This window comes from Homo sapiens, chromosome 5 (assembly GCF_000001405.40).
Source record: "Homo sapiens chromosome 5, GRCh38.p14 Primary Assembly".
Lineage (NCBI taxonomy): Eukaryota > Metazoa > Chordata > Mammalia > Primates > Hominidae > Homo > Homo sapiens.
The window spans coordinates 140,530,139-140,545,750 of NC_000005.10; the positions used below are offsets into that span (position 1 = coordinate 140,530,139).

Consider the following 15,612-nt stretch of genomic DNA (forward strand, 5'->3'; position numbering starts at 1 on the left):
TTGTTTAATAGTACTCTTGTTTATTTTAGGTATAGCTATTTGTTTTTTATGTATTTTATTTTTTATTTTTATTATTTTATTTTATTTTTTTGAGACAGGGTCTCACTCTATCACCCAGGCTGGAGTGCAGTGGCCCAGTCTCAGCTCACTGTAACCTCCGCCTCCTAGGCTCAAGCATTTCTCGTTCCTCATCTTCTCAAGTAGCTGGGACTACAGGCATGCGCCACCATGCCCGGCTAATTTTTTGTATTTTTAGTAGAGACGGGGTTTTGCCGTGTTACCCAGGCTGGTCTCGAACTCCTGTGCTCAGGCAATATCCGCCTGCCTTGGCCTTCTAAAATGCCAGGATTACAGGTGTGAGCCACCGTGCCCAGCCTAGATACAGCTATTTGAAGAGACCCAGTCATTTATAGGCTCTTACTTTTGAAAGACCAGTGTAGATTTAGCTGTTGCTTCTTTGAAATTATAAATTAGCTGCCGAGGCATTATGAGAAATATATAGACAGATCTGAGGTCAGTTTTGGCTTGGAGATATTTGGAGAACCAGAATCTATTTTCTATGGTTTAAGAGCCAAATTTTAGTCTAATCTGCACTGTTCTGAAAAACAAATTAAAAATGTGGCCGACCCAGAATATGGCACTATTGCCTCTTAGCATTTCTCTTCCAGTTGGAAAACTGCCCCATATTCCATGCTACTTTGTTGCTAATTATAAACTGACCTATGTTGTTTAAAATTATTTGTGAGTTATGAATATGGCGTAGCCCTAGCTTTCATTTCAGATATGTTTCCATTTACTTGTCTTTTCAGGAAAACATAGCTGTTATATTGTATTTCAAATAGAAATAGAAGCCTGCATATGACTATCTATGGTCCAAAATATTCTCTAAATTTTTTCCATTCCTCTCTGTAAATAGGCATCTATTACAACTTTTCATTTGGGGAAAGTAATATAGACTTTGAGAAGCCCCAGGGTGAAAGAAGAGCTCATTTCCAGTACCCAGGATGTGATAGGAAGCATTAATCCTTGACCTTCCTTCTAGGGCCTAGGATTAATAATCTTGGCCCCATTTCTTAACTGCTTGTATGGTTTCTTTTGTTGATGCTCTTTTCACGGATATAGTTTACTTTCCTAGTTTTCAGGTAAGAAGTAGTAATACCGACTGAGCGTGGTGGTTCATGCCTGTAATCCCAGCACTTTGGGAAGCTGAGGCGAGTGGTTTACATGAGGTCAGGAGTTTGAGACAAGCCTGGCCAACATGGTGAAACTCCATCTCTACTAAAAATATAAAAAATAGCCAGGCATGATGGTGCAGGTCTGTAGTCCCAGCTACTTGGGAGGCTGAGGCACAGGAATCACTTGAACCCAGAAGATGGAGGTTGCAGTAAGCCGAAATCATGCCACAGCACTCCAAGCCTGAACAAAAGAGCGAGACTGTCAGGAAAAAAAAAAAGTAGTAATACTTAAGAAGATGGGAAAAGATAGAGAGAAACTGAAACCATCATACATGGTAGGTAGGAATGTAAAATGGTACATCTGCTTTGGAAAAACAGTTTCACAGTTCCTCAGAAAGTTAGACGTTAAGAGTGATCATATGATCCCATTATTCTACTCCTAGGGAAGATATATGTCTATAGAAAAACTGGCACACCAATGTTCATAGCAACATTATTCATAATAGCCAAAATGTAGAAACAACCGAACGTTCATTAACTGACAAGCAGATAAACAAAATGTGGTATATCTATAGAATGTAATATTTTGTATTTGGTATAAAAAGAAATAAAGGGCCAGGCGCGGTGGCTCACGCCTATAATCCCAGCACTTTGGGAGGCCGAGGTGGTTGGATCATGAGATCAGAAGTTCGAGACCAGCCTGGCCAACATGGTAAAACCCTGTCTCTACTAAAATACAAAACATTAGCTGGGTGTGGTGGTGCACTCCTGTAGTCCCAGCTACTCAGGAGGCCGAGGCAGGGGAATCACTTGAACACAGGAGGTGGAGGTTGCAGTGAGCTGAGATCGCGCCACTGCACTCCAGCCTGGTGACAGAGCGAGACTCTGTCTTAAAAAAAAAAAAAAAAAAGAAGTACTGATTCATGCTATAACATGGATGAACTTTGAAAACATTTTACTAAATGAAAGAAGCCAGTCACAAAAGACCAGATATTTATTTTATGATTCCATTTATGTGAAACATCCAGATTAGCAAATCCATAGAGACAGAAAGTAGATTAGTGGTTACCTAGGATGAAGGGGTGATTGGAGGGTGGGTGATAGCTTAGGGGTGCAGAATTTCTTTTTCTTTTTTTTCTTGAGACAGGGCCTCACTCTGTTGCCCAGGCTGGAGTGTAGTGGCGTGATCATGGCTCACTGCAGCCTCAACCTCCTGGGCTTCAAGCAATTATTCTACCTTGGCATCCCAAAGAGATAGGATTGCGGGTGTGAGCCACCATGCCCAGCTTCAGAGTTTCTTTTTAGGATAACAGAAATGTTCTAAAATTGATGTGGTCATGAATGCACAATTCTGTGAATATACAAAAAGCTACTGAATAGTATAACTTTAAATGAGTAAATTGTATGGTTTGTGAATTAAATCTCAGTAAAGCTATTAAAAAGTACATTTATGTGGCATCTACATTTAGGTCCCCAAAATGCACATCATGATCTTTAAAAGCTATCATGATTAGCTGGGCATGGTGGCTCACGCCTGTGCTGGGAGGCTGAGTTGGGTGGATCACTTGAAGTCAGGAGTTCAAGACCAGCCTGGCCAACATGGGGAAACCCCCGTCTCTACCAAACATACCGAATTTAGCCAGGCATGGTGGTGGGTGCCTGTAATCCCAGCTACTCAGTAGGCTGAGGCAGGTGAATCGCTTGAACCTGGGAGGCAGAGGTTTCAGTGAGCTGAGATTGTGCCACTATACTCAGCCTGGGTAATAGAGCAAGACTCTGTCTCCAAAAAAAAAAAAAGCTATCATGATCTTTACAAAAGACTGACAGATTTCACTGTAAAAATATTGACAGTGGCCAGGTGTGGTGGCTCACACCTGTAATTTGAGTACTTTGGAAGGCCAAGTCAGGAGGATCACTTGAACCCAGGAGTTCGAGACCACCCTAGGCAGCATAGTGGGACCCTGTCTTGATAAAAAATAAATTTCAAAGTTAGCTCAGTGTGGGACCGGGCACGGTGGCTCACGCCTGTAATCCCAGCACTTTGGGAGGCCGAGGCGGGCAGATCACGAGGTCAGGAGATCGAGACCATCCTGGTTAACACGGTGAAACCCCATCTCTACTAAAAATATAAAAAAATTAGCCAGGCGTGGTCGCAGGCACCTGTGGTCGCAGCTACTTGGGAGGCTGAGGCAGGAGAATGGCGTGAACCCGGGAGGCGGAGCTTGCAGTGAGCCGAGATCGCGCCACTGGACTCCAGCCTCGGCAACAGAGCGAGACACCCTCTCAAGAAAAATAAATAAATAAAAATAAATTAGCTCAGTGTGGTGGTACACGCTTGTAGTCCCAGCTACTCAGCGGGGCTAGGCAGGAGGATTGCTTGAGCCCAGAGGTCGAGGCTGCAGTGAGCCATGATCACACCACTGCTGCACTCTAGCCTGAGTGAGAGAGCAAGACCCTGTCTCAAAAAAAAAAAAAAAAAAAAAAAACAAGAAGTTATTATAGAAATGATTCATTTCAATAAAAAAAGAAAGAAATGATTCATTTCCTACTTACAGACTTTTTAAAGCCACATTCAGTATTCTCACTACCTCTAGGTTTTGCTAACATCTACTTTGGTTAGCACTAGAAAATTTAATTTTTTTTGTCAGGAAAGCACAGTAATAAATTGCCTACTGTTGCCTACCACAATAATGAAAGTCTGAAATAAGTAGGAAATGCATTAAGTTACCCACATGTCCAGAGTAGGCAAATCTATAGAGACAGAAAGATTAGTGATTGCTTAGAAATGGAAATATGAGGCTGGGTGCCGTGGCTCACACCTGTAACCCCAGCACTTTGGGAGGCCGAGGCGGGTGGATCATGAGGTCAGGAGATCGAGACCATCCTGGCCAACATGGGGAAACCCCGTTTCTACTAAAAATACAAAAAATTAGCCGGGCGTGATGGCAGATGCCTGTAGTCCCAGCTACTTGGGAGGCTGAGGCAGAAGAATGGCATGAACCCGGGAGGCGGAGCTTGCAGTGAGCTGAGATCGTGCCACTGCACTCCAGCCTGGGTGACAGAGCAAGACTCCGTCTCAAAAAAAAAAAAAAAGAAATGGAAATATGAGGGTGAGGACCCAGTGAATGACAGGTAATGAGTATGGAGTTTCTTTTAAGGGAGACAAAAATGTTCTAACATTGATTGTGGTGATGGTTGCACAATCCTGTGAGTATACTAAAATCCAATGAATTATATACTTTAAATGGGTGAATTATATGGTATGTGAATTACATCTCGAAGTCATTTTTTTTAAATGATGGGGAAATCAAAGTCTGAAAATAAGACCTGCTTAAAAGAAATTTTGACAGTCGATGTTGATATTAACTACTTTTTCCTGAAATAATAAACCATAATCCTTTTCCAGACCTTCATCCTCTTTTCCTAATACATTTTCCAGAGAAAGCAATGGAATTTGAGAAGATGGCTAAGTTCAGATTTATACAAACTAGATAGAAACTTTGATAATAGTTTGCAACTGTTGATATTTTCTATCAGATAGAATACTGAAATTATCCTCAGTAGTAGGCTTTTCCTCTTTGTGAGGAAGGAAACATTGGTAGATTTTGTTACTTATCTTCTATAGAAAATGACTATAGTTATACAGATGAAAAGCTGTACTTTGACTACAAAAGGGAATGCAGGAGTTATTGTTGGGTGCTACTTAGTTACAGCATACTCCCATTTCATATCCCCTCCAGTTAAAAGCTTTGAGATTCATCTAGAACATTACTCCAGGTGACTGACACTCTTAAACATTGAGCCCATTTTCCTGTATCTAGTGCTGTTTGGCGATATTCTTCTGGACTGTAAGGAAAAAATGGATTTGGCCATACAGTATCACATAGATGGATTGTTTTTGCTGTGGTCTATGAAAATGAGCCACATGCTATCTTTTATTTATTTGTTTGGTTATTTTTACAGCTTATCTCACTTTGGTGGAAGTCTTCTTGGGCTTTCAATTTTAAAGTTTTAGCTAATTGGATGTCTTGGACCTGTTTTATTTCAGGGTTACCATCCATTGACCCATCAGGCAGCTCCCCATCTTCCTCTTCTGCTCCTCTGGCAAGTTTTTCCGGCATACCAGGAACAAGGGTTTTCCTGCAAGGGCCAGCTCCTGTTGGGACTCCTAGTTTCAACAGACAACATTTTTCTCCCCATCCTTGGACAAGCGCCTCAAACTCATGTAGGAATCCTGGAGGAACTCTTCCCAAAGAGTTTTGAATAAGTTATTAAATCATTTATTTCAGTTACAACACCATGTTGTAACTTTAGTAAACTAAGTGGTATACAGATGCCCAAGGTTTGTTCTGTGGTCATGTGAAAAAATTGTCAGTCATTTTTAGCATAGAAAACTTGAGAATTATTCTTTCAAGCCAAAAATGTTTTACAGTAGAACTTGGATCAAGAAAAGAGGTACTAGGCTGGGTGCAGTGGCTGACACCTGTAATCCCAGCACTTTGGGAGGCCTAGGCAAGAGGATCGCTTGAGCCCAGCAGTTGGAGACCAGCCTGGGCAACAGCAAGACCCTGTCTCTATTAAAAAAAAAAAAAAAAAAAAAAGTACCGCAAGTAGTTTTACAAAAGGACCCTTTGGAAGCAGTGTTGTAAAATTATTTCTTAAATCTGGAAAGAAGTTGAATTTTTGTATATGGTCAGTTTGGTGTGATTTCTCATGTATTTTTACATTTTATGAAACTATTGCCTTTTATAAGTTAAAATATTCCTTTGTTCTATTGATTGATTGATTGATTGATTGAGATAGAGTGTCTCGCTCTGTTGCCCTGGCTGGAGTGCAGTGGCACGATCTTGGTTCACTCCACCTTCTGCCTCCCAGGCTCAAGCGATTCTCCTGCCTCAGCCTTCCGAGCAGCTGGGATTACAGGTGCCTGCCACCACGCCTGGCTAATTTTTATATGTTTAGTAGAGACAGGGTTTCACCATGTTGGCCAGGCTGGTCTCAAACTCCTAACCTTGGGTGGTCCACCTGCCTCAGCCTCCCAAAGTGCTGGGATTACAGGCGTGAGCCACCTGCCTGACCCCTTTGTTCTATTTATTTCAATGTTTAGAACAGATGAAGTATGTGGAATTGAACGGAATTGGATTTTTATTTTATTTTAATGAGCATCATGAGGTAGTCAGTGAGTATTGGCTTTTTTGACAAGGAAAATTACCCAAATCACCCAAGAGTTCCATTAAGAAACAAAGCTGTGAATCAAAATCGTACAATGCTTTGCTAACATTTGACCTTATTTCCTTATAGAAACAAAAAGGGCTGTAGAAAGGGAAAAAAGAAAAGACTAACAAGTATAGAGGGTCACCAGATGTTTTCTAGAAAATATGCTAGGTACTGTGCAAATATTGCCACATTTTAGTTAATTTTCAAATGTGGCTGGGCGTGGTGGCTCACGTCTGTAATCCCAGCACTTTGGGAGGCTGAGACGGGCAGATCACCTGAGGTTGGGAGTTTGAGACCAGCCTGACCAACATGGAGAAACCCGTCTCTACTAAAAATACAAAATTACCAGGTGAGGTGGTGCATGCCTGTAATCCTAGCTACCCGGGAGGCTGAGGCAGGAGAATCGCTTGAACCCAGAAGGCAAAGGTTGCAGTGAGCCAAGATCACGCCATTGTACTCCAGCCTGGGCAACAAGAGCGGAATTCCGTCTCAAAAAAAAAAAAAAAAGTGACAGTAATGTTTTGAGCAGATTATTTAGAGCTAGAATAAAAACAAATGTGGCCTGCTTCCTTTCTAGCATTGTTTAGTTCAATTGGGAAAACATTTTTTAGACTGTTGTATACTTATTATAGGCAGAAATCGTGTAGGATAATGTCTATAGAAATTATGTTTTATTTGAATGTTCTTTTAAAATGAAAATTTTCTTTACAGAACTTATGTTGTGGAATAGATCTTTCCAACAAGGTTTCTCATATTCTTATAGTTTTTTATATGTAATAAAACAATAGAGAAATATTTTGCCACCAGGTGACTCTCCTATTCCATCTGTTTCTTCGGGATCATCTTCACCTCTTTCAGCCACTTCTGCCCCACCAACGTTGGGCCAACCAAAAGGAGTCAGTGCCAGTCAAGATCGAAAGATACCTCCCCCAATTGGAACAGAGAGACTGGCCCGAATTCGGCAAGGAGGGTCTGTTGCACAAGCCCCGGCGGGGACCAGTTTTGTCGCTCCCGTTGGACACAGTGGAATCTGGTCATTTGGTGTCAATGCTGTGTCAGGTACAATTGCCTTGCTCTCTCTCTGGAGGGATATCTTAAGTAAGCTGTAGGTTTGCCATTAAAACTTAGTTCCTTAGAAAAAACAAACAAAAAAAACTTAGTTCCTATGTTTAACACTCAATTAGGGAAGGGTGTTTATATCTTTGAGGAGTTCAGTCCAATTTCAGAGTCTGGAATATTGGTTGAGGTAATACATAGAGTTAATCAGAAACAAAAGATTCAAAGTGTGTGTCCTTTCTCTCTTAAATAATCATTTGAGTTCTTTCAGAGAGTACTTAATCTTTTAAAAGACAGGGTAAAGTGGAGTATTCAGAGGACTTTACCTAGTTTTTCAGGAACTGGTTTTTTTTGGCTAGCAAGACTGTGATAAATACGCTTTGAGCTCTTCAGAGGAAAGATTTCAGTAACATTTGGTCATGTTTGGTAATAACAATGGTAATGTTTTGTTGTTTTATCCAAATAAATTTAAAACTTTGTTTTCAATTATTCTTTCCAGAAGGCTTATCAGGTTGGTCGCAATCTGTGATGGGGAACCATCCAATGCATCAACAATTATCAGACCCAAGCACATTCTCCCAACATCAGCCAATGGAGAGAGATGATTCTGGAATGGTAGCCCCCTCTAACATTTTTCATCAGCCTATGGCAAGTGGTTTTGTGGATTTTTCTAAAGTGAGTTGACAAACATCACTGTAACTTGATTGACACTTTGTCAGCCAATGTAGTCACATTAAGGAATACCTTGTATTGAAATAATGCTCCCTTTTGTTTCTGTGGCTTTGCTAGATCTTTTGCTTAATTTCAGGAGTGCACAGAGTTGTCCACAGTAGTTTGTCCTGAAGATGTCCCCATCCCCCGAAAACACCTGAGGGATTTGGGTTTTGCCACTTTGTGCTCTGCTACTACAGCTTTGAGGGAGGCCTCTACCCCTCTTAAAAGCTGGCCATGAGTTCACTGATGCTTTCTTGTCTGCTCTGACAGCTTTATGTCGGCAATCAATTATGTAGAGTTCCCATTTTCTTCTTAGCTCAAGCTTATTCATGAAACTAAAATATGGGAAAGTTGAGGTTATTTTTATCAAATATGAGAAATTTCCTGATGATTTCATATTGGATTTAGTTTCTTTCTCTCTCTTGTTTTTTGTTGAAAAGCTTTGCAGATGCAGATAAACATTTTGTTTTCTCAACACTGCCATACTGTACTTATAGGATCTTTTGGAGTTCTTTAAATGAGGAATATTAGAGAAGTCTAAGCTGGTATTATGGGATTTATAGTAATTTTATAATTTATAGTAATTTTAAGATTAAATCTTTTTTCCTGCTGTTTTAGGGTCTGCCAATTTCCATGTATGGAGGCACCATAATACCCTCTCATCCTCAGCTTGCTGATGTTCCAGGAGGCCCTCTGTTTAATGGACTTCACAATCCAGATCCTGCTTGGAACCCTATGATAAAAGTTATCCAAAATTCAACTGAATGCACTGATGCCCAGCAGGTAAAATGGGCTTAATGCTCTTTTGTTTTTTAGATTTGTCACATCATTCTTTTTGTTTTGTGAGAAGTATAAGTACTGAATATCAAAAGTCATAATTGACCATTTCGATCTGGATTGCTTTTTCAATATCAAGATGATGCTACTGAACACTTTATTTAATATATGTGTATTCTTCCTAGGCAGAAACAGTGAATTGCCATTGCATTTATATATTCATTTTGTAACTGTCTAAAGATTCCTAATTAGAAATTCCAATTTTTCCTCCCCCTTTTCAGATTTGGCCTGGCACGTGGGCACCTCATATTGGAAACATGCATCTCAAATATGTCAACTAAGTTAGAAGGTCTTTACTCTTTAGCCTTGTTTAAGAAACCTATGACCTTGGAAGAACCATGGGGATTTTTTTTTAATGTGCCTAAGAAATTTTCTCTGAGGCTTTAGCAATGGAAATTTGATTGCCCATTGTATAAGAACAAATTGATTTCCTATCCACCTGATTATGTTCTCTGGTTAGTTTAGCCATTTTGAACTTAAGATCATATGACCTTAGTGCTTTTGGCTAAACATACAGAATACTACTTGTATGCAGAAGAGAATTAGTTGATTACATGTTTCAACCTTTTAGGGTGATAAATACATGTATAATTGTTTACATACTTAAAAGGAAAAAGTTGAGTAAATTTCTTGTCATATAGTGGCTCTACGTAATGTAGCCTGTATTAATGTGAAATATTTACCAGAATATTCAATAAAAAGATGAACAGTCTTTAGAAGTGGGGTGTGATCCTTTCAGTGGTCATGCAGGTACCACTCAATCCACATTATATTGAACCAGATGGTTAATACTATATTTGTAACAGGCTTCTCACATTTAACACTTGAGTCCCTTCTTAGACTGCCTTAAAAAAGCACTTTTAAGACTATTTACCTATTTATTCTGTGTTAAACATTCCTTGTTCCCTTGTTGTCTTCCATAATCCTTTAACATATGAGAAAGTTTCAAGCTCTGGCAATGTGTCTTATCTGACTTTAGCTAGCAGATAGGCCACTGATAGGTTTTTTCTCTATGGATCATGAGAATGTCAATAAGAACAATTGGATTTAAATCAGATGACACTAAACAAATGTAGGGACACCCAAATTATCAACTTCAGGTTCCTTCTGTGCTTCCTGACCTTTTTTATCTGAAAGATTTGTCTGGTTATAGATATTTTAAGCTTTATATGAGTTGGGACATAAGGAGGTGACTCCTGTCATTCTGTTGTATTATTGAATCAGCTGAGTAATATTTATAAATATGTGAGTAATTCCAGGCTTAGTTCCATGGCCCTAAGCATGGAGAGTCAATATGTTTAACAAGCTAAACAGAGGAACCCTGGAATGGGCTGCTTTGGCCAAACCATAGGCTATGCCGAGAATCAGCATAGAGAAGGAAAAGTTATCCCACTGAAAAGTATAGTCATCAACTTATTTGTGTTTTAATATAGCTGAATTTTTCCTGGTCAGTATAGGCAATACAGAAAAGAAAACAAGAAAATGTTTGGAGCTGATGGAGAAGCCAAAACTCATATCAAGGCAAAGAAGGATGCACAGAGAAAGAGTAGTAACTAGGGACAGAACTATATTAGCAGCACCTTTCTACGCTTATGCCAACAGGAATTCTTAATTTTCTCTGCCCAGGTCCTAAAGCCAGGACCACATCAGACACACCATGTTTGTTCTGTGTCAGATATACCTGCTTCTTTAATCTTCTATATCATCTTACATATGAGAAAGCTTCCTTAATTAAGCTTATGTCTTATGTTTTGTTTTGAATGGATTTTGAAAGTGTTGTTTATTGAAGCTACTACTTTGTAGTGATTGATAACCACATCAAGTATCATTAAGGGGCCCCTTGACCTTTGTGGGGGCAGTTGGGTGGGGCACAAAAGACTCCTTGGATCACCTGTGTATCTTGCTGTTTCCACTTACCATTAACAGCAACAAGAAAAATCACCTAAAATTGGTGAAATGAATGAAACTACTCTTGATGAAATATATACTAGTGAGAAATAATATTAAATAAATTATTCAGTGGGACAAAAAGGTGAGTTTTATTCTATCTTAACTGTCTACAATACATTTGAATTGTCTGGAGGAGCCTTAAGTCCATATTCTGCACCTTGAGGACAACCAAATGAGAAATTTTATTTCAGGTCAGTAAGTAGAATTTATGAAGAGAAAGGAGATAATTATGAGGAATCCCTAGGAAAATTGGGAGGAAAACAACAGTTGTATAGTTGGGAGTAGTTCTTTAGGATACGCTCCTCCCTTCCTTCTTACCAGCACTTCCTTCCTTTCTTTCTGACTATTTGGATCCCAGTAGCCTGCTCCCAACCTCATTTCACCTGCTAAATCTCTTCTTCCTCTGCCTGCCTCTTCCTGGCACTACTTTACTGCTATTTTACCAACCTGAACATTTGGATAAAACCTAGCTCAGGTAAGAACTTAATTACTTTCAAAATATACAAGGGATATGGGAGGAGACAGCATGGATACAGTGGAGCAGTAGTCAGTAGTCAGAGCCTAAATTCTATTTTCATTTCTGCCGCTTGAAGCTTTATGGCCTTAGGCAAATCATCTCACCTTTCTGGGTTTCACTTTTCTCATCTGAAATTGAACTCAAGAGTCTTCTAGTTCTAACACAGGATTTCTTCTTGTGAATGAGAATATAAGATATGGAAATATTTGAAGCCATTAGATTGTTTACAGTGCTGAGATTTGAGAGCCCCTAGCATTGGTTCTGATAAGGAATCGAAATAAATCCTGCCATTATTATGGGGGCCAGTATTGAGATTTTAGTGGAGGCAGAAGAAGACCTTGCACATCTTTAGTGAGCCTTCAAGTTGTGAAGAAACATCCTGCTAAGGTATAGATCAAACCCAGTGAAATGAAACTATAGGAATGAAACTACATCATCAAGGTTTCTGGACCCACTTATTTCAACTTGTGTTCAATGTAATAAAATTCCGCTACCAATAAAATTATTAATGTTTTAAGACCCTTTAAACCTATTGTGGCTACAGTGTGCTGACTTGCCCTTTTATAGGCCAGTCTGCTTCCTTCAGTCCCTGCTCTCAAAGGGGAAATCCCATCACCTCAGCTAACCAGACCGAAGAAGAGAATTGGACGGCCGATGGTGGCCTCTCCTAACCAGAGGTAAGAAATTTCAGGACTTGGAACTACGGTTTCCCTCTCTTCATGTAGATTCTGGCCAAGTCCTCCCCACAATCCGAAAACTAGTGCAAGAGAGGACCATCCTTAGTTTAAGTTAACTTACAGAAGTGGAGGCCGGGCATGGTGGCTTACGCTTGTAATCCCAGCACTTTGGGAGGCCGAGGTGGGTGGATTATCTGAGGTCAGGAGTTTGAGACCAGCTTGGGCAACATGGTGAAACCCCATCTCTACTAAAAATACAAAAGTTAGCCAGGTGTGGTGGCATGTGCCTGTAATCCCAGCTACTCAGCAGGCTGAGGCAGGAGAATCGCTAGAACCCAGGAGGTGGAAGCTGCAGTGAGCCAAGATCACGCTACTGCACTCCAGCCTGGGCAACAGAGCAAGACTCTCTCTCAAAAAAAAAAAAAAGAAAAGAAAAGAAAAGAAAGGGAAAGGCTGGCTACATTATAATTTCAAGCCAGAGAGAGGAGTACTTAGTATATGTGGTTCCTTCCCACTGTTTAAGACCTTTGGGGCCGGGTGCGGTGGCTCATGCCTGTAATCCCAGCACTTTGGGAGGCTGAAGCGGGTGGATCACCTGAGGTCAGGAGTTCGAGACCAGTCTGGGCAACATGGTGAAACCCCGTCTCTACTAAAAATACAAAAATTAGCCGGGCGTGGTGGCATGCACCTGTAATCCCAGCTACTCAGAAGGCTGAGGCAGGAGAATCGCCTGAACCCAGGAGGCGGAGGTTGCAGTGAGCTGAGATCATGCCATTGCACTCCAGCCTGGGTGACAAGAACGAGACTTCGTCTCAAAAAAAAAAAAAAAAAAGACCTTTGGACCACATTGTAAATCCAAGAAAAGGCAAGCAAGCTTGTAGGAAAACAGCTTCTGAATGAACATCTTGTTCTCTGACTAGCAAGAAGTATTTCTACCAAGACATACAACTGGTTATGATGTCTTCCCAGTGGACCCTGCCCCCTATAGTGAGGGGCTCTGGTAATGCTGCATTTTCTATTTATCCTCAGTGATTTGTCATTTGCAAACAGGCAGGTTCATGCGCCTCCATCCTCTCCTTTAGGCAATGGGTGAGAGAAAGGTGGTTTTAAGCATCAAAAACTTAAGTGTGTTAAGACCACCTCCAATAAAAGGCATGACCCTGGGCTTCAACACCTAATTTGGAAAAGATCATGAATCAGACGATCTTGTTTGCAAACCTATTTTGTGATTACTTTTCACATTCTGTTTTATCTTGATGGTATATTAATGTGAATCCAAAGTAATTTGCCTGATAACAGAGACCTGGTATTTCCTTATAGGCTTAATCAGATCTCTGGGGGTGGGGCCTGGGCATAGGTATTTTTTTTAAACACTTCCATATTCTAATAGGTAATTAGTTGTTTTTTGTTTTTTGTTTTTTAATGAGACAGAGTCTCACTCTGTTGCTTAGGCTGGAGTGCAGTGGCGCCATGTTGGCTCACTGCAACCTCCGCCTCCTGAGTTCAAGCAATTCTCCTGCCTCAGCCTCCCAAGTAGCTGGGATTACAGGTGCACACCACCACACTTGGCTAATTTTTGTATTTTTAGTAGAGATGGGGTTTCTCCATGTTTGCCAGGCTGGTCTTGAACTCCTGACCTCAAGTGATTTGCCCGCCTCAGCCTCCCAGAGTGCTGGGATTACAGGCGTGAACCGCCTTGCCCAGCCAGTAATTAGTATTGACCCTCTGATTTAAATTCTTGTTTCTTCATCCAGATTGCATGGATGATGAATCTGGCTTTCTCTCTAAAGCCAATTACCTATTCCCCAGCCCTTACAGCACACAGTGACTCCAGAAGAGTTAGCTGCAAGCAGTAGTCATTATAGTAGTAGTAACTGTGGCTATTATTTTGTGGTAGAGATTAGTAGAAGGAAGACCTCACTTCGACAATGACCGTTCTTGAAAACTTTTGATACTTTTCTCCTGATTTTCCTATTTCCGACTCATCTTTCTCAGTCTCTTTTGGTGAATTCTTTTTCTCTACTATCTTTTAAATAAATAAATGTTGATGTGCCCAGGCTTCTACACTGTATCTTCTCCCCAGATGATCTCATCCCACATTTATTTATTTATAAATAGAGATAGGGTCTTGCTGTATTGCCCAGGTCTTGAGCTCCTGGGCTCAAGCGGTCCTCCCACCTCAGCCTCCCAAAATGCCAGAATTAACAGATGTGAGCTACCGATCCTAGCCCATCCCCACACTCTTGAATTTCACACCACCCAAATTTGAGCCACTAACTCAGAGTTCTCCCCATGGCTTCACTATATCTAGCTTCCTCCTGTGCTCCATCTGAACACATATTATTCATTCCCTCATATAAGATATGCTGCTCTTCTTGTTTTCCCTATCATATTAGTTGGTGCTACTAGCCACCAAGACTCTCAAGCCAAAAGACTGAAAATTATCCTAGTTTACACTTTCCCTCACCCCACTCTTAATCAGTCACTTTATTCTTCCTCTGTGTATCTGAATCTCATCCACTTCTCTCCATCCTCACAGCCATCGCCCGTTTGCCCACCTGGTTTCACTAGACTGGACTCTACCCTCAAATCTCACCATCCTCCACCCTATTCTCCCATTCCCCCTGTCAGACACTTCCTCACGTTGCATAAAAGGTTAGTTATCATAAATGATTCACTACAATCTGTTCCCAAGCTTTACCCTCCAGCACTGCTAAGACACTTCATTTTGGCATGCACCATTTTGTAAGATACTCAAAATCCTTTTCGGGACAATAAAATATACATACCCTTGATACCTGAAGTGTGTTTCTGAGGCCCTGAAGCGTTTGCATTACTGTATTAAAAACTCACAGTTGCAGTCAGGCCCGGTGGCTCATGCCTGTAACTCCAGCACTTTGGGAGGCCAAGCCAGGCAGATCACTGGAGATCAGGAGTTCGAGACCAGCTTGGCCAAGATAGTGAAACCTGATGTCTGCTAAAAATACAAAAAATTAGCCCGGTGCGGTGGTGGGTTCCTGTAATTCCAGCTACTCAGGAGGCTGAGGCAGGAGAATCGCTTGAACCCAGGAGGCAGAGGTTGCAGTGAGCTGAGATCATGCCACTGAACTCTAGCCTGGGTGACAGAGCAAGACTCCATCTTAAAAAAAAAAAAAAACCAGCCAGGTGTGGTGGCTTATGCCTGTAATCGTAGCACTTTGGGAGGCCGAGGCAGGCTGATCACCTGAGGTCGGGAGTTCAAGACCAGCCTGACCAACATGGAGAAACTCTGTTTCTACTAAAATTACAAAATTAGCTGGGTGTGGTGGTACATGCCTGTAATCCCAACTACTCAGGAGGCTGAGGCAGGAGAATCGCTTAAACCCGGGAATCGGAGGTTGCGGTGAGCCAAGATCATGCCATTTGGGCGGCAAGAGCGAAACTCCATCTCAAAAAAAAAAAAAAAAAATCCACAACTGGCTGGGCACGG

At 41.0% G+C, this 15,612-nt stretch overlaps 2 protein-coding genes across 2 annotated transcripts in view, besides 1 other annotated feature; both read left to right on the plus strand.

Annotated features, from left to right (window-relative positions):
• Positions 1 to 9,711, plus strand: part of ANKHD1 (ankyrin repeat and KH domain containing 1) — a 138,017-nt gene extending 128,306 nt beyond the window's left edge. Inside the window, exons 30-34 of the mRNA NM_017747.3 lie at positions 5,224 to 5,400; positions 7,251 to 7,451; positions 7,948 to 8,123; positions 8,781 to 8,945; positions 9,221 to 9,711. Of these exons, the coding sequence (NP_060217.1) occupies positions 5,224 to 5,400; positions 7,251 to 7,451; positions 7,948 to 8,123; positions 8,781 to 8,945; positions 9,221 to 9,280 (779 nt within the window). The 3' untranslated portion in view covers positions 9,281 to 9,711. The remainder of the gene's footprint in view (positions 1 to 5,223; positions 5,401 to 7,250; positions 7,452 to 7,947; positions 8,124 to 8,780; positions 8,946 to 9,220) is intronic.
• Positions 1 to 15,612, plus strand: part of ANKHD1-EIF4EBP3 (ANKHD1-EIF4EBP3 readthrough) — a 147,744-nt gene that overhangs the window by 128,306 nt on the left and 3,826 nt on the right. The window contains exons 30-34 of the mRNA NM_020690.6: positions 5,224 to 5,400; positions 7,251 to 7,451; positions 7,948 to 8,123; positions 8,781 to 8,945; positions 12,034 to 12,143. Coding sequence (NP_065741.3) covers positions 5,224 to 5,400; positions 7,251 to 7,451; positions 7,948 to 8,123; positions 8,781 to 8,945; positions 12,034 to 12,143 — 829 coding nt within the window. The remainder of the gene's footprint in view (positions 1 to 5,223; positions 5,401 to 7,250; positions 7,452 to 7,947; positions 8,124 to 8,780; positions 8,946 to 12,033; positions 12,144 to 15,612) is intronic.
• Positions 3,422 to 3,481: an enhancer, noted in NCBI's record as "active region_23273". NCBI's record gives its function as "activates an Ori minimal core promoter by ATAC-STARR-seq in GM12878 lymphoblastoid cells {active_cell/tissue: GM12878}" and the evidence as "EXISTENCE:reporter gene assay evidence [ECO:0000049][PMID:35858748]".